This window comes from Homo sapiens, chromosome 8 (assembly GCF_000001405.40).
Source record: "Homo sapiens chromosome 8, GRCh38.p14 Primary Assembly".
In the NCBI taxonomy this organism is placed as follows: domain Eukaryota; kingdom Metazoa; phylum Chordata; class Mammalia; order Primates; family Hominidae; genus Homo; species Homo sapiens.
In genome coordinates, this window is record NC_000008.11 from 117,111,381 (window position 1) to 117,133,456 (window position 22,076).

Below are 22,076 nucleotides of genomic sequence, written 5' to 3' on the forward strand. Positions count from 1 at the left end.
GACCACTCTTATTTGCCTACTCACCATCTCTTCTTTCTTCTTTTAGTAATAGCACCCTACCTTTCCTTTGGGTCACTATGTTTTCCAAATTATTGGTTGCTGTGCTTCAGTGGGGCTCCATTTTCCAGACCATGACAGAGTACCCAACCAGGCCTGGCTGCTTAGAACACCATGTTCCCTGACTGTGATAGTTTAGCTTTGGACATGTGGACTAAACTAATTAGAGTGCATTATGGGACTTTTTTTTTCTTTCAAACTAGTGGTAAAGAGGCACTGTCTTTCCACTGGCGCTGCAAAGCTACTACAATATAGGTCTGAGGGGCTGGAGGCCATCTTGCTGCCCCAAAGGGAGCATCTTTTTGATGCCATGAAGTCGACCTGGAGGAAGCCACAGCTGAGAGATAGTGGGAAACTAACTCCCCAATTACATGGTTTGAGGTAACTGTGCATAAAACCAGCTCTGCTCCTGGTTGAGGCATTTTTTCTTCCTCTTTATAAATGGACAGTTTTTGATTCTCAAAATGTCCTCCTTGTTTAATATCTGGAAATGTCTAGAAAACAAGGCCAATCTATGCCTCAGGTGGGAGCCAAGGTACCCCAAGTCATCTAAGAAGAAGGCTGCAGGGACTCAGAGACAAGCAGCAGCATCTGGGCTATGCGTCCCTCTGTAAAAAAGAGGATGACATTTCTTCCGTCTCTATTTCAGGTATCATTTTCTCTCCTCTAACCCCATTTCTTGAAAAATTTAACTACTAGGAGTTTGTGAAGATATCACCTCATGGGTTCATTGATAAATGACAGGTGATTTTATGCTTTCCTGAGATAGGTTCAACATGCCAGAGTGTCTTGTGCTCCAGACCTTGAAAGATGAGATTCCTGGAAAATGTTTTAATGTGGGTTGTATTGTTCTGTCTCACCAACCATTCAGAGAATTTTAATTAAGCTCTGTTGTATTCATCCCTTACTCTTAATAAAGCCCTTTATTTCATAACTCAGTTCAGAATAGTTAAATATTTTGTTTGAAGTACAGCCCCTGCCAATTCACCACACAGGAGGGGTGAACAGTTAAAGGAGTTGGTGTAAATGAAAAACCCCTTGAGACTCATTGAGTGTCAAGGTCTGAGCTGGGAGGGAGAAAGCCCCGGCTCTAATTTCAGCTCTGCCGGAGAGAGACTGGGACAACTCAGCCTTCTTTTCCCAGAGCAAAAATGAAGATGCTGAATTTTGTTTACTTCACTGAGCATTGGCAGGAAGTTTTAGGAAGACAATGTCTTCAAAGCATAAAAAGTACTTGGAAAAAAGTCATCATATTACTTGTAGGGCCATGAAGATTCTCTGATGGATGCAATTGCATAAGAAAATGTGTTATTACAGACTCAATATCTAGTCCAGGGCGAATGCTGGGGTGTATCCCAAGGACTTTCCTGCTCTGCAAATTCTTTGTTTTTCCTTCAAGTGTGATCACATGCAGTTTTGCGGAGTCAGCACTTTCTTTGTTTCATTGACTGTTGATTACTTCATTAACTCAGTACTTATCTCCTGAGTGTTTTACTATTTGTTCAGCACTACAGATAGAAAAAGTGGGTCAAGCATGACTGTTCCTTTATTCAGTCAACATCTATTTATCAAGCACCTACTATGTGCCAAGCAGTGAGGATATAAAGATGGTAGCCATAGTCACTGCCTTCTATAATCTTGCTACTCAAATTGTGGTGAGGGGACCAGGAGCATCAGTATCTCCTAGGAGTTTGTTAGAGAAATACAGACAAACGGAATCAGCTTTTAACCAGGATACTAACAAGATCCCTAGGCAATTTGTATGCACATGAAAGTTTGAGAGGCAAAGCTCTAAGCAGACTTATGTCATGGTGAGTTTAGTGGGAAAATAATGAACTAGTGGTTTAGAAGACTGACTGATACTGGTTGCCAGCTTTCTGCTCTGATGCTTGTAATGGAATGGAAGCAAGTCATTTTTCCATGTTATGACTCAATGTATTATCTTCAAAATAGAGATAATATTATTTGCCCTTCCTCCCTCATGTATTATTATGAAGATGAGATAAGAAAATTGTTGCAAAAGTGTAAGTGTTATCCAAAAGTAAGGTATTGCTATTGTAACATTTAAGATTTGGAGAAGCTTCTGTATACTAAGCCTGGCTGCATTGCCCAGGAACTGGAATTTTATTCTGATTTAACAATTGCCTGCATTGTGATTCTATGTTAGGGCATTCTTATCTCTACCATTCAGAGATGTGAGTAACAGGATTGCCAAGGCGCCAGCATGCAGAGAGGTTCTAGTGCTTCTTAGCTCTAGTTATACAGAAGTTGTTGTGCTAGACATTTTATGTATTCAACCAATTTAATAAAACTTAATGAGGGCTTGTCTACTTGGAAAAACTTTGGGGTATGGCATGCTTGGTTCCCGCCCTCAAGTGGTGTTTAAGATGGTGAGGTAACATACAAAATAATTGTAATTCATGATACAATAATGTAGATGCACTGAGTGTGGTTCAGACAATAGGTGAAGACATGGGTAGATTTATAAAACACAGAAGATTTGTGAAACGAGGACAACAGATTAACTAAAGATTATGTTTTTATCATCTGCTTCTTTAGCAAACTCACAGGGCAGCTGGGTCATGAGACCTCCCAGATGTTGGAGAACAGTATCACTAGATTACTGGAAAATGATGACCTGGCTCCAGGTACAAACAAATGCCTTGTCTTAGCCATCAAGTTGGAGAATTCAGACACACAGCACTTAGAACAGAAGCTCTTTTTCTTTCCAAACATTTATATTGTTTCTCCAGGAAAGGGCTGTCCTACTGCTTGTCTACATTTAGGAATAATTATTAGATGAAATGAGATTAGGATTTGAATGGAAAAAACTGCCCATATTCAATTGACAAGGACCATCACTGAACCCATACCTTCCTGTCTATATATCCCCTTCCACCTTGCCCCTCTGAACTACTATTCGGATTCCATGACACAGAATTTGAACATTAAGGGAGTATACTTGGTGAACTAGCAACAATTTGGTGATGAAAGAGAGCAGAAAATCAATCTGGAGAAATTAAGTTTTCTTACAGAACACTTAAGCCCTGGGGTAATCACCAGAGTGAATTCCCCACTCAAAGGCTAAGCTGACCCCCGTCAGCTTTAAATCCCTAGCCCTCCTATTAAAACTGTTTCATATGATAAAGTGAATTAATTGGCTGTTAAGTAAGCCAAAGGGTCTCGAGTTCCTACCTCTGCTGATTCAGCAGATTCTCATCTAAGTGAGATTTAAGAGACTGGAGTCTACTGAGAGAAAAAGTGGGGGTGTTCAAAAAGCCACTCTTGTAGGTTATGCTTCCCCAGCTATAAAATATTCCATAGCAGTGTGAAAATGACCAATTTCAGCCTCCAGAATCACAGAAGCTGGGAGCAGCCTCAGAAATGGGAATGTAGAGATCTGAATTATACTTTAGGCTCTGTAAGTTAATTGCCTTCTTTGTCTTTCTCTCTTCTGTCCTCTCTCTCTCTCTCTTTCTGTCTTAGAGACAGGGTCTTGCTCTGTCACCCAAGCTCTAGTGTGGTGGCTACAGTGATCATAGCTCACTGTAGGCTCAAACTCCTGGGCTCAGGTGATTCTCCTGTCTCAGCCTCCTGAATAGCTGGGACTACAGGCTTGTGCCCCCATGCCTGGCTAATTTTTGAATTTTATTTTTTGTTTATAATTTTAGTTTTTATTTTTTGTAGAGACAGGGTCTCATTCTGTTGACCAGGCTGGTCTTGAACTCCTGGTCTCAAGCTATCTTCCTGCCTTGGCCTTCCAAACTGTTGGGATTATAGGTGTGAGCCACAGGTCTCATCTAACCTTCTTTGTCTTCTTAAATAGAAAACCAGCAGGAGGAACTGCTCTAGTTGGTATGTGATGTAAAGTGAAAATAGCGAAAGGTTGTCTTTGCCCAGCATCATCCCTGTCTGCCATTTTGATCCTCTTTTCTCCCATCAATCTTCTAATTTTCTTTGTTCCTTTTTGGGGTACTTCTTCTCTTGTCCTACTGCCATTTTGAACTCCCTTGGTCCCCCTGCAATTTCTTCACCAATTTTGCATTTTGCTAGCAGCAGTAGGTATTCTCTTTACAATCATTCTTTCATTGTTATAATTTTATTTCTCTCCACAAATAAGCATGAGCACCTTCAGAAGACAAACACATGTTTTTTCCTCAGTGAAATTCCTTTTGGGTGAGAAAGTCATATGTCAATCAAGCAAATTAGTGAAATAGGTTAATTTCAGTTACCAATAAATGCAAAACAGTTAAACAGTTGGAGGTCTGAAGATGAGGGTGAAGGATTAGGAGCCACTTTCTTCAGAGTGGGTAGGGAAGGGCTCATTGAGGCTGTGGCATATGAACTGAGATCTAATCAATGAGGAGGGGCTAGCTGTTCTGAGATCTGGGGAGGCTCATTCCATAGAGAGGAAATGCAGATGCAAAGCCATTGGAAGTGCTTGAGGGTGGGCTAACAGGAGGGGGAGTTTTGGGACTTGTCTGGAAGTTGCATTTGCAGAGCAAGCACATTGTTTTGCTTATATTGTGTGTTGGTTGTGCGTTTATATTATGAGTGGCTTAAGGAGGGTTAGTAGAGATTTTTGTGGAGGGGAGAAGAGCTCCCCTACCAAACTTCTGTACGCCCTTTCTTGAAGACTTTGGCAAAGACTCAGATAAAAACAAGAAATGACAATAGGACCAGTGTGGTTGGAGTTTGCTGTGTTTGGGCAAGGTAGGATGACCCAAGGCCTAAGAAGTCTACAAGGCCTTATAGGTAGGCAGTGATGGCAAGGCGTTTGAATTTTGTTCTGAGTGTAATGGGATGGCACTGGAGGGCTTTGATTAGAAGTGACAGAATAGTGGTTTTCATGTTTTGATCTAAAAAATACCCAATTCACAGGCAGCTCCAGAATATGATTAAACTGAACTAAAATACTAAAACAATACTGATGTCACGGACAATTGAAATTCTGTATAATTATCATTTATGATTACTGAAGCTAGGAATGGCATATTGTGTGACTCCTGTTCATAAGGCAACGGCTCAGATGAAATGCAAGATAGAAAAAGGCAATTCTAAGTATCTTAGCTGTAAGTGTACTCTTTCTATTCTGCTCCAAAAAACATATCAGAATGCATGAGTAGCATAATTTTGGGTACTAATTTCAGGTGTGTCTGGATTTTATATAAAGAATTAGAATTAGAACTCTTCATTACACATTACTCCCAGCATGCCTCCCAAACTGGTAGGTAACCTGTCTGTCCTTGAAGTTACTCTTTTTCTTCTTGCCACCATCAAAGTCTTTTCTCAGGTACCCATCACAGTGAAATCAGAAAAGTTCTGATGGTTTAGTTTACACTCAAGTGTCCATAGGAGACAGTGACTTCATATGTTTATTTGCTAAGAATGTGCATTTGAATAGGAGCAATGGTTTCATGTGAGTGAATGCAAGTATGAGTCAAGGTTATAGAAGGCCAGTATTTGGGCAAGAGCCCTTCTTAGAAGTCCTGAAACTACCCCACCTATACAGTCCTAATGGTTTATAATACTGTTTCTTCCTACATCTTGTGGCTTCTACGCCCTCAGAAATGAATGCTGTAGCCCTCCAGAAATGCCTGAGACTAAAAAGGTAATGAAAAATAATTTGTAGCTATCAGCATTTTTGTCTTTCCGAGGAAAGACCCATCTTTAGAATAATTTATCTTTATATGAAGCAAAAGGGCTCTTCTGAATAATGCAAAACCACTAACAGTTAAAACAATAGCTGATACTGTAGTATTTTCTGTGTGCCAGGCTCTTTTCTAAGCACTTATTTATATTAACTTATTTAATCCTGCAACAACCCTATGTAACAGGTATTATTGTCATCCCAATTTTATGAACAAAAAAAAAGACAGTTATGGTAAATTCATATACTCTAAATATGTGGATAATTTAGGAGTTCTGAATATGTAACATCACCTCAGTAAGAGCTTCAGCCACAGAGTCAGGTCCCAGAGGATCCGATTTATTAATTACTAAACTCATTTCTGCAGAATGCACCAAAGGCTTCCACTGTTGGGAAGGAAGATGCTTTATGAAAAAATTTTAGTCTTGTTAAGAGAGTGCAATAAAGCTATGGAGAGGTTTTCAACTTTTAATTATTTAACAGTGAAATAGAATTTCAGATGAATCCCCCAGATGTAATTTATATTGTAATGTTTTACACTGCTTTATGTACAGATGTCAGGAAAGATGGCTCTAAATGAATTTTATAGGACTTAAGGGAGAACTTGCAGTTCTAGCTCTAGGGATGAAGGCCTGTCTTCATCTCAGCAGGGAGCTACCAGCATCTCACGAACCAATATGATGACATCTTCTTTAAAATCTGAAGAGGTCAGAGGTAAAAAGTCCATTCAGACTAAATATTTGACATCTAAGGTAAAATTGTAAGTTAATGCTAACTTTCCTGCTCTGCAAATTCTTTGCAGAGGCCTAGTTTGAAAAGGACAATCCAAGTTTTGATTACCTCTATCAGAAATAGTGTTCTGGAAAAGGCTCCAGATAGGCTGTACTTGTAGGCTAAGAGAAACTTGAATGTGATGCTGAGATACTGTCTTTTCCTTATGAACATGAGCAAGAATTTATTTGTTAGAAGTCACCAAAATTGTGTGATTACTCTTGTTCTAACTTCTTAAAGACTTAGCTGTTGCAAATTTAACTCAGAAACATTTTGGGTTACTTTTTCAGTTCAGATGGTATACCTTCTCTCTGTCTCAAAAAAAAAAAAAAAAACCAAAAAACAAAAAACAAAAAAACCTTGCAAAATAACAGTTGCTCTCAGATAAAATAAAAGCAACTGCCCATCTGTCATCATTGGTCTTTTAAAATCACAAGTTGTCTTTCTAATTTCTCTTCAACTTTTGACATACAACTCAAAACACCTTTTCACAGAGAGGTTATATGGTTATTTCAAATACTGTCTAAAAACTCTATAAAGAGATTTGATTAAATTGGAAGCACAGATGACTGATACTCTTAAAATAATTGCTGCCTTAGTGATTCAACATGTGAGCTCTGCCATTTATTACACTTTTAAGTGAACTAATCTAAATTAAAATCTTCTAAGATCAATAGCTCATTTTTTTTTTAACCACGGAGCATTCTTAATGCATTGCCAAGCCAGATAAGTCATATTTTCAGACCTTGAGAGTCTACAGCAGCCTAATGTATATTTGGTAGCATATTTTACAGCAGGCTCCTTTTTTCTTTTTGCACAAATATATTAAAAAATAGCCATTCCAAGTGTGTCTCTAAACACATCTAGTTCCTTTTCTAAGCATACCTCCTCACTTGAAAGATATCATTATTATCTTTTGATGTGTAAAACTACTTATCAATCTGGTCTTTTATTAACTGAACAACAATTTGAGTCATTCATCTGCATTGCTGTCAGGTGATGGTAAAATTCTGGCAAATTTATAGAAAGAAAATAGTGTAAACAATTCAGTTAACATCGAAACTCACTCAAAGATGCGGTGTTGGAAATAAGGCAAATTCCTATGGGCCTCTGAGACAGGCCTAATGTCTGTGGGGATTCGGATTGGGTAGAAGTCAACTAAGTTAGCCTCCTTTTGTTTGGCTCCCATGGTAAGGAATATAGAGGCCTAATTTGAAAAGGACAGTCCAAGTTTTGATTACCTGTATCAGAAATAGTGTTCTGGAAAAGGTTCCAGATAGGCTCTACTAGTAGGCTAAGAGAAACTTGAATGTGATGCTGAGATACTGTGAGGCTAGCAGTAAACAATCATCTCAGAGATCCATTATGTTCCCAAAGCAACTCCCAGCTTTGGCTGTCGTCTTCAACACCTTTAGTTCATCTGTTTTATGTTAGGGAATTACTGGAGATCCACCTTGGGCTAGAATCTTTGGGGAGTCGGTCCATATTGCTTTTTTCCCCCATCTTCATAATTTAGATTGAGTTTCTAAAGGAAAGGGGAAAGGAGACTGCTGGCCAATGCCAGGGTTTTGGCTGCTGAAGTAACCTCCCTATTTGCCACACCCATGTTAGTCCAAGAGGAAGTCAAGGGGAATGAGAGAAGACTACATTCTTTTAGGAATTATTCTACGTGATCACCCCTTCAGTCACTCTTCTTTTGTGCCACAACCTCCCCTGCCCCACCTTACTCCCATATCACATCATCTGTGTGTATGCATAATCATTAAGTTTAAGTTTTATTCTCCATGGCTAATATATAACGCCTTATCCTTAAAACCCTTGCAGGAGACAGAGAGTTTTGGGAGATGGTAGAAGCTATAGTAGTACAGCAGTGCTATATTAAGATAAAATGTAATGTGTTTTTAGAAATAAATTCAGTAAAGCTGCAGGATATAAAATCAACATATAAAAATCAGTTGTGTTTCTATACATCTATACACAGACCATGAACTATCAGAAAAGAAAATTAAGAAAACAATCCCATTTACAATAGCATCAAGAATAAACTACTTAGGAATAAACCAGAGGTAAAAGACTTATGTGCTGAAAACAACATAACATAGATGAAAGAAAAGACATAAGTAAATAAAAAGACATCTTGTGCTCATAAATTGGAAGACTTAATATTGTTCAAATGTGCACACTACCCAAAGTGACTAACAAATTCAATGCAATTTCTGTCAAAATTACAATGGCATTTTTTGCAGAAATAGAAAAAAAATCCTATAATTTGTATGGAAACACAAATGACACAAAATAACTAAAGTAATCTTGAGAAAAAACAAAAATGAAGGTATCACACTTTCTGATTTTAAAACATATTTCGTATCTGTAGTAATTGAAACAGTATAGTACTTACATAAAGACAGATATACAGACCGATGGAACAGAATAGAGATCCCAGAAATAAAACCACACATATATAGTGAACTGATCTTTGACAAGGTTGCCAAAAATACATGATGGGGAAGGGATAGTGTCTTCAACAAATGATGTTGGGAAAACTCAATTACAACATGCAAAAGAATGAAATTGCACCCTTATTTTAAACCATACACAAAAGTCAACTCAAAATGGGTTAAAGATGTAAACATAAGATCTGAAACAGAAGAAACCATAGGGGGAAAACTTTACAGTATTGGTCTTGGCAATGATTTGTTTGATATGACACCAAAAGCATAGGCAACATAAGCTAAAATGGACTAGTGGGACTACATCAAATTAAAAATCTTCTGCACAACAAGGGACACAATCAACAGAATAAAAAAGGCTACCTACATAATAAAGGAAAATGTTTGCAAACCATATATCTGATATGGGGTTAATATCTAAAATATATAGGGAACTTCTAAAAAAAACTCTAAAATCAACAAAAACCCAAAACCTCTGAACCCAAATAACCTGGTTTAAAAAAGGGGCAAAGGGCTTGAACAGACATTTCTCCAAAAAAATATATTCAAAGGGCCAATAAGTATATGAAAAGATGCTCAATATCACTAATCATCAGAAAAATGCACCTGAAAAGCCACAATGAAATATCACCTCACACCTGTTAGGATGGCCATCAAAAACAAACACACACACAAACAAAAAATAAGGGTCTCTGAGGTTGTGGAGAAATTGGAACCCTTACTCACAGTCACTGGGAATGTATAATGTTGCAGCCACTATGGAAAATAATAATATGAAGTTTCCTCAATAAATAAGAAATAGAACAATGGGATCCAGCAATCATACTTCTAAGTATTTATCCTAAATAATATAAATCAGTATCTCAAAGAATATTTGCATTCCTGTGTTTATTGAAGCATTTTTCACAATACCCAAGATGTGGAAGTAGCCTAAACATTCATTAATGGATGAATGGATAATGAAAACATGGTATATACATACAATGGAATATTATTCAATCTTAAAAAGGAAGGGGATCCTGCTGTCTTAGTCCATTCAGACTAATATAACAAAACACCATAAACCAGGCTGCTGATACACAACAGAAATCTATTTCTCACAGTTCTAGAGGGTGGGAATCCAAGATGATGATAATGGCAGATTCAGTGTCTGGGGAGGGCCCACTTTCTAGTTCCCAGATGGTGCCTTCTTGTTGTGTCCTCACATGATTCTCTCTTGTGCCTCTTTTATAAGGACACCAATCTCATTCATGAGGACTCTGCCCTTATGAACTGAATCACCTCCCAAAGATGCCACCTCCTAATACTATCGCATTGGTGATTAGATTTAAACATGAATTGGAGGGGTACACAAACATTCAGACTGTAGCACCTTCCTACACTGCAACATGGATGAACCTTGAAGGCATTCTAAGTGAAATAAGCCAGTCACAAAAGGACAAATACTGCATGATTCCATTCATACAAGGTGTCTAAAACAGTCAAACTGAGAAGCAAAAAGTAGAATGATAGTTGCCGGGGATTGTGGAGGAGGGGAAATAGTGAGTTGCTGTTGAGTGGGTATGAAGTTTCAGTTAAGCAACATGGAAAAGTTCTAAAGACCTAAACATTGTGCTGATAGTTAACAATACTATACACTCAGAAAAATTTCTTAAGAGAGTAGGTCTTATGTTTTTCACAATAAAAAACATATAAAATGTAGTTTGTCACTATCCTCTATGATATGCGGAATTTAACTGAAATGGAAATCAGGGTATTAGAGTGGCCCTTTTTATGTCATATTGCTTTATTGGGTGTTTATACTTAAGCTAATTACTAATTAGTAACTGAGGCTTAGAAGCAGTGATAAGACTGGCCTTTGTAAGGCCTATAGACTTATTCTAATTGCTTTATAGTAGGATTGTATGTGGGAAATTGAGATTAAGAGAATTGCTTACAGCTGCAACATTTAGGCCCTGACATCCTTTAATAATAGGTGACATGTCTTGAGAGCTTATGAAGTGTTAGGCACTATTCTAAGCACCATTCATTATCTCACTTGATAATTACAACAATACAGTAAGTTGGATGCTGTTATAATTGTCCACCTTTTACACATAAGGAAACTGATTAAATCACTTTCCCAAAGTTATCTAGCTCATGAATGGCAGAACTGGGATTCAAACCCAGGCCTTTCACCTACAAGGCTTGTAACTCTTAACCATCCAACTTTTCCCTCTCCTTGTCTGTTCTCTTCATTGCTTCCAAGAGCTGGGCTTACCATCTACAAGCACTCTTCATCTGAGTACTGACATCTACTGTGGCCCCAGATGAATGCACAGTTGAGGTAGGCAATTTTAAACATTGTCTTATTCACTTTTAGTGGAACCCAGTTATAGGCCACATGCCACACTCAGGCTCTGGGTGTTTTAGTGAAGACCTCCCTTATTGAAGTCTAAGTCTCTTTTCTGGCAAGGATCACAGAGCTTTGTCGTGTCTTTGGTGTCCTGGTTGAAGACCAGACTGCCTTTCTTCCACAGAGAACCACAGTCTCCTTTCCCCTCTGTGGACTCTGCTCCTCTGTTTTAGAAATGCTTAAGTCAATTGCTTCCCAAATCATGATGGAGCTTGTGATGGTTTTTGCAATGTACTGGGCGTTCCTTTATATTATTAGAATATACACTGCACTGGAGAGGAACCAGTTGGACTTATTCACTGTTGCACCTTTATCACTAAGCCCATTGCTTGACATGGACTAGGAACATAATTAATATTTGTTGAATGAATTAATGGGAAGTTTCTCCGTCTTCTGTCTCACCTTAGAGGGCAGACCTCAGGTCAGGCTTCATCTCCTCTACTTTCATCATTTGCTCCTTGCCACTGGGAAACTAACCATCCTCTTCTGGGTCTAAGTTTTAATAATGGCGACAGACAGGATGTGTCTACATTTAAACCTTCTCATTTATTCAGATGACACAGAGACTAAAGGTCTACTCCCTGACCAAATACCTTAATGTTTTAAAAATGTAATCTAGCTGATTTTATGCAGTGCATAAACAGACATCAGAATGAGACTAATGGATGACATTTACATAAACAGGCTATCAATATTAAAATAGCATGAAGGAATCTTTAAATGTAGCATTAATTAGAAACCTGAACTAATTTCATTATTAGGCATTGATACCCTGGGAAAATGATCATACTTCTTGAAATGTGGAAATAAAAGTTTGTGAGATACTTTTTGTGTGAAGAGTAATACAAAAGTTTCATAATGTAAAGCAATATTTGATTTTTAAAATTATACTTTATAGCAATTACATATTTTACTTTGTCATTTTTAACAGCTTTTATGAGGTATAATTCACCTACAATAAAGTTCACGTAAGTGTATAATTCAATGATTTTTAGTAAATTGACAGAGTTGTACAATATCACATTTTAATTTTATAACACAATATGTCATTCTTAATGTACTTCACATTAAGATCTGCTGTACAACATAATTAAAGTTGCTTATTTTAATTTCTCAATTCATTTATAAATGGCTGAAAGGACATTGAAGATTTTGGAAACTATTGATGAGGAAATTGAACAAAGAGCTTGCATTGGGTATTGGCTAGTGCAGTTGGTATGTTAACTTGCTGTGGGGAATCCTCTCATCTCTCACCCTTGGTGTGCACATTCTTATTATATCTTTGAGAAGCAAGTGCCTGATTAATTTCAACATGATAGGCTCTTGACAGGAGATGTCCCAGGAGAGGCAAAGCTGGGGAAGAGTGTGGATGGGAGTTAGGACCAACTGCTTCCCAGGAGCACATTTTCCAAAAGTAGTGCCTTTTCATGTATTGAGACTCATACAGATTATTGTGAAAGGATAGAACCTGTTTTATGAGCTCATTCCTGTGATTGTAAAAACTGGTCTAGGGAGATGAATCTTTAGTTATAGGGAGAGGGGAGTAAAGGATTGTGCCATGCTTTTACAGTAAGAATATTATATTAGTCAGAAAAGGCTAGTTGATGCTGCACAAACAAATGAGCAACAGATCTCAGATGCTCACAGCTACAAAGATTTGCTTCCCCTCATGTTACAAGCCCAATGCAGGTCAGTAGAGAGGCTCTGCTGATTCATTGTTACTATTCCTGCACCCGGGCTCATGCAGGCTCAGTTTCCACACAGGCTTTCATGGTTGCCACAGCAGGCAAAATCAGAGCTGTGGGATCTCACATTGGCATTTAAATACCTCCACCAAAAAGTAATTCATATGACTTTCGCTCTCAACCCATTGGGAAGAATTAGCAACATGACCACATCCAATTTCCAATCTCAAAAGGGCAGAGAAGTCCTCCCTTGTATCCAGAAAAAAAAAAAAAAAAGATTAGAAAATCAGTGAATAACGGTAAAGGAACAGAAAATCAAATACTGTGTGTTCTCACTTATAAGTGGGAGCTAAACATTGAGCACATTATGTACATAAAGATGAGAACCATAGACACTGTGGACTACTAGATGGGGGAGGGTGTGGGCTCCTATTGGGTACCATGCTTACTACCTGGATGACGGGATCCATACCCAAAACCTCAACATCCCACAATATCCACATGTAACATACCTGTACATGTACCCCTTGTATCTAAAATAAAAGTTGAAATAAAAAATCAGTAAAGATTATTACATACATAGCATCTAATGAAATGAAGGAAAACATCAACAATAAAAAAAATATTGAGATACCAAAATTCTAACATCAGAATTTCTTTTTAGTGAAAGAACTCTTTTCATTTGGGAAAATAATTTGATATGCATCTTGGGGTGAGGGTTAAGAACTAACAAACTGAGCAACCGATCTCCAGGTAGTTTAATCAGAATATATACAGGATTTTTATCAGAATAAGAAGTTTTGGTGTTGCCATGATTGCATTTGAGATTCTTGAATCTAGTCTCCAAATTTGCATATGTAGTTTTGTCTTATGGGTTTTGGTAATTTTCATTTACTCCATTCTTTTACAGTTTTTATCATTCTTTCTCCATTTTACATGAGCCCAGATTTGTGTGACTCTAATGTGGTCAGCAGAGGAACCAGTAGTTTATGCCACTAATTTCCATTCCTACTTCTTGAGCCTCAGACAGCACTAACATGTTAGGACTGTCTTTTTAGCTCAAGAGAAAAATTGACCAAATATTTTTGTGAATGGAGATGTGTATGGGAAACTTGTGCTATTAGCAGGAGTGGCACTATGAGGGACCTCCATCAGCAGCATCTCTTGAGGTTGGAAAATCAGTGTGGCTAGGATGCTTGGAAATGAAAAGCTTCCTGCTCCAGATTTTGCCAGGTGGTTGTGCCCTTTACTAATTTCAGCTGCAGTTACAAGAATGATAAAATGGAAAAATAAAGATCTGTGCAATGACTGAGAAAAGGCAATTAGTTTTGCACCAATGAGAAATAATGTAGAACTCCTCATGTCTCATAATAAATTGGTTCTCTCCATATATATTTAAGAATGCATATATACAGTACAAATGTACTTAAATTTAAATAGCACTAGAATAAAACATATTCTGCAAGTTTTAGTAAAAGAAGAGGCAATATAATTTCTGTATTTTAGGAAGAAAAAATTAAAATAGTATCTGTAATAAGAGGATCTGGGTGTATAATAATTGATCTAGTGAATGTCAGAGTTTTTTGTTTTCTCCCAGAATGCATCAGCTTCAACGATCTTCTCCTCTCTCTAGCTGTGTTTTCCCCCCTCGATGAAGCACAGAAGAAACTAAAACCTGCCAGTTAGCAATGCAATTTCAAGCTTAATATTCTTGCCAACTCCAAATATTATTTTTTTATGGCAAAAAACGTCCAATCAAGTGTAGCTTTTTCTCCATGTTAGTTGACTTGACAACTAGATCTCAAAGTACTTTGTGATTTTCTTTTTTATTTGATGAGGCAGAATTGCCTACATGATAACAGGCTGGTTTTATGTATGAAGTATTAATATGATAGTCTTTATTTATTAAGCAATTACTCTGAGCTTTATATATGAAATTTAAATTACTTCATTTAATTTTTATAAATATCTTAGAGAAATTAGGATTAGAGAAAAATCATTTATCCCCATTTTATATGTAAGAAAACAGGTTCAGAAAGATTTTGATTACCCGGTTGGTGAATGGTACCCAAGTCTTCTGACTTCAAAGGCTTTACTCTGAATCACTCACTATGTAATGGCTTTCTCATCAGTACATTCCATCCATCATCCACCAACCCATCCATCCATCCATCCATCCATCCATCCATCCATCCATCCATTTATTGATTTATAAAAAATATATTCTTCACCCATGATATGCCAGATACCGTTTATGAAGAACTGGGGAGACAACAGTGTGGAAAGAGCTGAAGCCCCTAGCCACTAACAGCTTATATTCTCATAGGAGTAGATGAGATGAGAAACAAACAAAATTAAAGATGGAAGAGAGATAACAATAAGGGTGCTGAAAGGAATGAAGAGCACAGTGTGGAAAGGAAAAACTCGAAATAGCTGAGCTCACTGTGCTTCTCACAGGGGGATCTAAGAGGGGCTGTCTGAGGAGGTGATATCTGGCAGGATGAGAATGCAGCATCTGTGTGCACAGTCAGCGGGAGAGCACATGTTCCAGGCAAAGGCGACAGTACTGGGGCATCTAATAGCGCCATTTCCAGGTAACTGAAGCTTACTCTTGAGTGCCAATTTTAAAAGCAAAGTAGCCAGTTCAGTGGAAACTGTCTACAATTCATTACACACCATACTGCTTTCTAGAAGAGAGGCCACTGGACCTGTCCTTGGGTTTTTGTTTATGAGATTATCCACAGGTATATAAATGTATTCATTTTAGCTAAGCATCGCGTACCTAATTGGTACGCGTTCCAAATTATTTTTGAAACCTAGGAAAAAGAAGTCTCATGTGGAAGTTCTTAGGGAAAAATGATGGGCAGCTCATACTTATAATTAGTCTTTTCACATTACTTAATGTTTTAACTTACTTTTTCTTTGGTAATCTTCCCATTTCCTCTTATCTACTGAATAATAAGCTGCTGAGTGTTTGTAAACACTATGCTGAAGAGCAATAACTAAAACTCTTCATGAAAGAGATCTGCAGTGTAGAGCAACAAATATAATATTGCCCTTAGGTTGTTGGAAGAGACATTATTTCTTGTGCTCTGTCATTGTCTCTCACAATTAGACTAAGCAGGAAAAGATTCACCTTCTTGTGACATTTTCCTGAAAGACAGGAAAATATTTGAATTTATATGACAAAGTAAATGTTTCATTTTAAGTTGTCTAACTGTTCAGCACAATGTTATAAGTTTGTATCTGTAATTCCAGGCTCTGGAGAGTATTAAAGCCATGAGAAATTATCAGATGATGTGTGGTGTGTGATGTTGTTTTTGATTGACAGAGTCAGATCTAATAATCCCAGGGGCTAAGATAGGTGTTTCTAATTTTTAGTGTTGATGCTGAAGGTAACTGGCCTGGAGGTATTTACTTTTTTCCTTCCTCCGTCTTTATTCTGGTTTTATGAATGAATTTATATACTTTAAGGATAAAATGTTGGCAATGCTGTGTGACATGTTGCTAGCTTGCAATGAGTTGTATATCACCCAGTACCAATGTATTTCTTTTCAAAGGCAATTCTCTCTTATATTATAAATTCTCAGAGAGCAGAAGTTACATCTGTCTAAATTGCTTGAGTTTAGCATCAGCTTAGAGCTTAGCCATTAGAAGTAGGAGTTTTGTTAAGGCATAGATAGAAGAGAACGTGGCGATTGTTGGGTTGAGCAATTACCTGAGTTATCTCCTAGGGCTCCTTGCTTTCTTCTTTCAGTTTTCTCCCAATGAAAAACCACTTCTGTGAACTATAGTCTGTTTAATTTGCTAGTAAACAAGAAGTGAGTGAGAAGTGGGCATGCACTTGCTGACTTACGGGGAATTATGGCACAGCGGCCACAAACATCACATCTTCCCAGTCCAGGAGGCAGAGGACTAGGAGTTTCCTAGCAGCTGCCACAGGAAAGGAAATAGTCTCATTATTGATGCTTCATTACTGATGCTACCTTATAGTCACCAGACTGCTGTCTGTCAAATTTGGTATAAAAAGGCGTGTGTGTGTGTGCTTGTGTGTGCTTGTGTGTGCGCACGCACGCGTCTGTGTGTGTGCTCATAAACACACAAAGAATTTGATAAAGACATTCAGAATATTCTTTTAAAAAATAATATGCTCCCTGTGTTATTATTGCCTAGGGTAAGAAGAAGACTTGCTGCCCACTGTCTACACTCTTGAAATTTAAAACACCTTGCTGAGCACATGTGTTACTTTTTAAATTAAAAAAATGTTAAAAGTTTTATTTAGCTGGCAGTTAATTGGTAGTACAATTTATTTATTTTAGCAAGAAATAACTTCTCAATCCTTAGCATAAATAGTGTACACAACAAAATACTTGGGAAGTGTTTCCTTTAGTATGAAGGAAAAAGGGGATTATTTTTACTGACAAGAGCTTTCTGAGGTTTCACAGTGGTATCATTCACTTTTTTTCTGGTTAGGAAATTGGGGCGGAAAGAAGCAAACATATTCAGTGACACACTGAAAATCAGTGAGAGGGAAAGAATTCGAACTCACAGCCTACAAATATACCAACTGAATGCATTCAGCATGAAAACATGTTAGTTTCAGCAGTAACGTTAGTTAAAATGGGTGCTTGGGCTGGATTCAGGTGTCAGGTGTGCTAGTCTTGAGAAGAACTATCCTCAGAGCAGAATTTAATACACTGTTGGGTGGCAATTAGATAATCACATCTACCCAGCAAGGAGTTTCAGTTAGTAGCTAATGACTATGTTGAATAAAAGTAGAATGCTCCAGGACTTTTCATCTGGCCAGTTAGCACTGCAATGGATGTGTTTGAGCAGACAATGAATCCGTTGTGCTCAAACTTTAGGACTAGTCAGTGTACCTCACTTTAGTTGGGAGCCTTGTGTTTATTAAAAAATTAGGAGAAATGACTGTATGGTATAAAGTGGATTAAAAATAAATATTCTTCATTTGTTGTCAGCAATATCCATATAATGATGATTCTAAGAAGTGATGGAAAATTAGTATCCACTGGGACATCATTTTAATCATAGAATTGATTTCTACTTTTGTTTCCTTCCATAGGAAAAGTTCAAGGGATGTCTGAGTTTATTATTCACCAGGTTTCTTGGGAAACTAACTTGTGACTAGGAAATGCAAATTATTCCAAATTCCATTCTAACAACTCTTATTAAAAATTTCATATTGCTTTGTCATATTGATTTTTCTTATATATATGTAATACCTAAAATAGGAAAACATTGTAATTGTGTCCTGATATTATTTTTTAACAGTTTAATATGAAAGTTTAAAATGAAATTTTTATTTTGTGAATGATAACGTATTATATTTCTGGTGGAGACTCAGAGAATAATCTTTGCTTTAGATTCTGAATGGTAAAGGGGAATATTATCCTAGGTATATAAGGCTTTTAAAAATCTGTTGCTAAATACAATGTTTTCAATAATGTTTTGTGTTTGCTTGTTATAATTAAATAAACATTTTTGTTCTCTTTTGGAGTTAGCTGACTGCGAAGGAAATGGAAGCTCCTGTCATCTGCTCACTGATCAATATCTGGGTGACTTGGTCGAGAGTTTAGGGTTGCAAAAGGTGATAAGGTGCCTCACTTGTCTTCATTGGATACAGATTAAAATAACTCATCTCCTGATGGTAGTGGTGAGATTTGCGACAATTGGATTAGCAGCATTTTAAACTGTAGACTTACTGGAAGCAAATTCACTAATACCAAAAGAAGAGATGAATTAGTTGTAACGCCTTGTGGTTGTGCTTCCAAGCAGGAAAGACAGCTGCTGTCCCTTGATGCATTTTGGATTCAACGTGAAAAGCAACGGTTCAGTCTTTCATGGGAAAGCTCTGAGGAAGCTTTGTCTTGTCTCCTGGACTATCTCCTGAGAGAAAGTATTGTCAGCCAGGAGTCAAATAAAGCCAGGCCTGGAGATTCAGAGGAGACGATGAGCTTTGCCTTTGCTCTGTTGGTATTCATCTGGGAATGCTCTGTGAAAATCCATTTCCCAAAGATGAATTATGATCCCCTAAAACCTTTCACTGAAGGAAAATAAACAGTGCTCATGAAAATTAAATGGTGGCATTCCAGATAATGACAAGAGGGCTCTATTATTATTATTATTATTAAATTTGAGCATTTAATGTTTTAGTCTTCAGTGATGCTCTGTGCATTTATAGACCAAGGGGTTGGAATATTAGAAAGTATATTTTTGTCTACTTTTCTATTCTAATCTTTAAAATAATGGATAGGTTCTTTGTAATCCTCTCTTGCCTTTTTATATAAATAAAAAGACATATAGTTGTGAGATTATGAAGCCAAAAGGCCATTGTTTTGGAGTTTGTAAGAAATAACAACCATATCTCACCTAGAGGGCGTTTTTGAGGGTTAATTAGTTCAAATTTGCAAGTGCTTGGAAAAAGAAGTGTGGTATATGGAGAAGAATTGAAGAAATATACACTTCATAAACACTTCAAGCAGCTAGCCCCAATATTTCTCCCCCCAAAAATAATGCTAGTTCATTTTTCTGTCATTTATTTGCATCTATGAGACTTAATAAAATATTTCTTTTATTCTTTTAGTATCAATATTTTATCAAGTCTTTCTATTCTTAACAAATACAAATTGCATTTTCACCAGAACATTCCTATAGCTCAATCGCTTGAAAAATAGAAATAGTAAAAAAAATTACATGGTCCTAATTTATCAAGAAGGAAATAAACATCATATTGCTTTCGGTCCATTTTCAAGCAGTGTATAAAATATTGGAAATGGTTTGTGTTTTATACATATTTACTTTAGATTAAAATAAAATTTTCATAATGCTCTCTAAAATACAATCCAATTAAATTTCTAATGTCTTTGTTTTCACATTTCTAGATGAAACCTCTGAAATACTCACACTGTAGTAATAACCATAAAGCTACCTTGCTAAGAAAATACTACTCAACTTAGAAATAATAAGATCTTTATAGTTATGTGAGAATGCATGAGTCCAGAATCTTTAGTGGGTGATTACACTGGTTGAGTTTGAATTGCCTCCCCTGTTGTGGAAGACAGCTCCATAGTGAAGATCATTCTGAATGGCACTCTACTGGTGAGGGGGTAGAATGAGGCAGACATCAATCTAATTTGAGAAAGTAGAGTCCAGAGGGTTTGAGAGATCTACCCAAAGTCATAGAGCCGATAGCTGAAGTCCCCAGATCTTCCTTTTTCAATAACCTTTATTTCCTTGATGGATGCTTCATTCACAGGTAATTCTTAGCCTTCTGCTAAAGCTGGAGCCAATTTCTCAGCAATAGCCAAAACATTTTACTTAGACATGGCCCAGTGTATAGAAACTCACAGTTACATAAAACTGGTTATATATCAGAGACTATGCTAAGAACTTTTATACATATTATCTGTTTTCCTCTTCACAAGAACTCTGTAAGATGGATTCGATTAATACTCCCATTTTACAGGTGAGAAACGGAAAAACACAGTGGTCAGGCAACTTGTTCAAGGTCACATATCTAAGAAAGTGGTCAAACTGGAAACTAAAATTGTCTACCTAACTAACTTGAAAACCCATATATTAAACCACTTCACCACACTACCTCTCCACACCAACAGGAAAAAGCAAAACATGATGAAAGTCCACATTTGTTATTTAAAAACAGGCACATTTCTATGTCTGATTTAAAAAGATGGTTGCATGCACACATTGGCAACATGAAGTATTTCTGAAATACGAGTTTAAATATGGGGAACACAAATTGTAAGTACTTGGTACTTTAGTATCTAGGGATAATGATGGTAGCTTTTTATAAATCCATATGTCCTTTCTACAAGTGAAATATCCAACAATGTTTAAGATACTTGTGAAATTATTTTTGCACAAGTATTAGCTACTGTTTGTAACACCCTATTAAGAAATTGTTGCTGACAACAGCTAGGACTGAAGAGCCAAACCAGTTCTTCAGTGATGTTGGTGATGTTCTTGTGGCTGACAGAATACTTATTTCCACAGGTAGCTGTTATAGATTGTGTGTTTCCCATTCAGTTACTCCAAGCTTGTGAAGGAGAGTGGGCGGAGAAGACAACCTGTAATTCGGGATGGTTTGGAAGCTGGTTGCCTAGGAAACTGAAATGAGCAGCGTAATGCCCACTAAAACCAATGTCTACAGGGGATGGGATTTTCCTTTTTGATCCAAGTTGCTTTCCAAATATATATTCTATGCTGCTTGTGGAGCCCAGTTAGGCCGTTGGCCCTTGGTGGGCAGTTCATGCCAAAGTAGACCAAAGGTTTGTCAGGGAGGATGAGAGATTTTTCATAAATGTTGTGATGACAAAATATTTGAGAGAGGGAATGACGGTGCAGTTAAAATGAACTTGTAAGAGAATAAGGTGATCAGCAGATGCATATTTTACATGATATAATATGCAATTCTTGATCATAACATCTGCATCTAAATTTATGGCAGCAAAACTTTTTAAGCATAATTTTATTTGCTGTAATCTACTGTTCTCTGTTCTTATGCTACTCACACTGGAAGCTTTGCTTTATGGTAATCATCTTCAAGAGTAACTTTTGGGATTCATAAATCTTTGATGAAAATCATAATTAATTTCCTAGTACTTTATAAATATGTACATTTTTATTAGTAAATGTAACATACATATCCACACATATATTTTAGGTATCTATATATGTGTGCATGTATATTTAAGTTGAACCATATAAAATTGCTGATATTAGACCACATAGGACTTATATAGTTTATCTTATAGACAAATAGAAGAGATCATAGGATACATTTTTGACAGGGGGTAGCAGTATTTTTTGTTGTTTTGCTTGGGTCTCTCATTGTCTCTTTTCCCATCTTCACTTTTCCCTGTCCTACATCAACCCCATCCTACTCTCACTTTATTCTTGCCCCATAGGCAATCCACATTAACTACCTGGCATGTATCCTTCACACTCATTATAAATTATATGTCAATTATGTATGTATGTATGTCAATTATAAATAGATCTGTACATCCGTATTTGTACTAGAGGCA

General features: G+C 37.0%; 1 protein-coding gene and 1 long non-coding RNA gene across 9 annotated transcripts in view; one reads left to right on the forward strand and one right to left on the reverse strand.

Moving 5' to 3' along the window:
* The window catches only part of SLC30A8 (solute carrier family 30 member 8), a 226,498-nt gene that overhangs the window by 161,164 nt on the left and 43,258 nt on the right, over positions 1-22,076 (forward strand). The window lies entirely within an intron of this gene.
* LOC105375716 (uncharacterized) overlaps positions 1-22,076 on the reverse strand; it is a 436,284-nt gene that overhangs the window by 26,944 nt on the left and 387,264 nt on the right. The window contains exon 7 of one of the 5 annotated variants that reach the window (XR_928570.3): positions 6,344-6,406. The exons of the other annotated variants lie outside the window; for them this stretch is intronic. This is a non-coding gene — a long non-coding RNA (uncharacterized LOC105375716). Of the gene's footprint in view, positions 1-6,343; positions 6,407-22,076 lie in introns of those variants that run through there. 5 annotated transcript variants of the gene reach the window in all.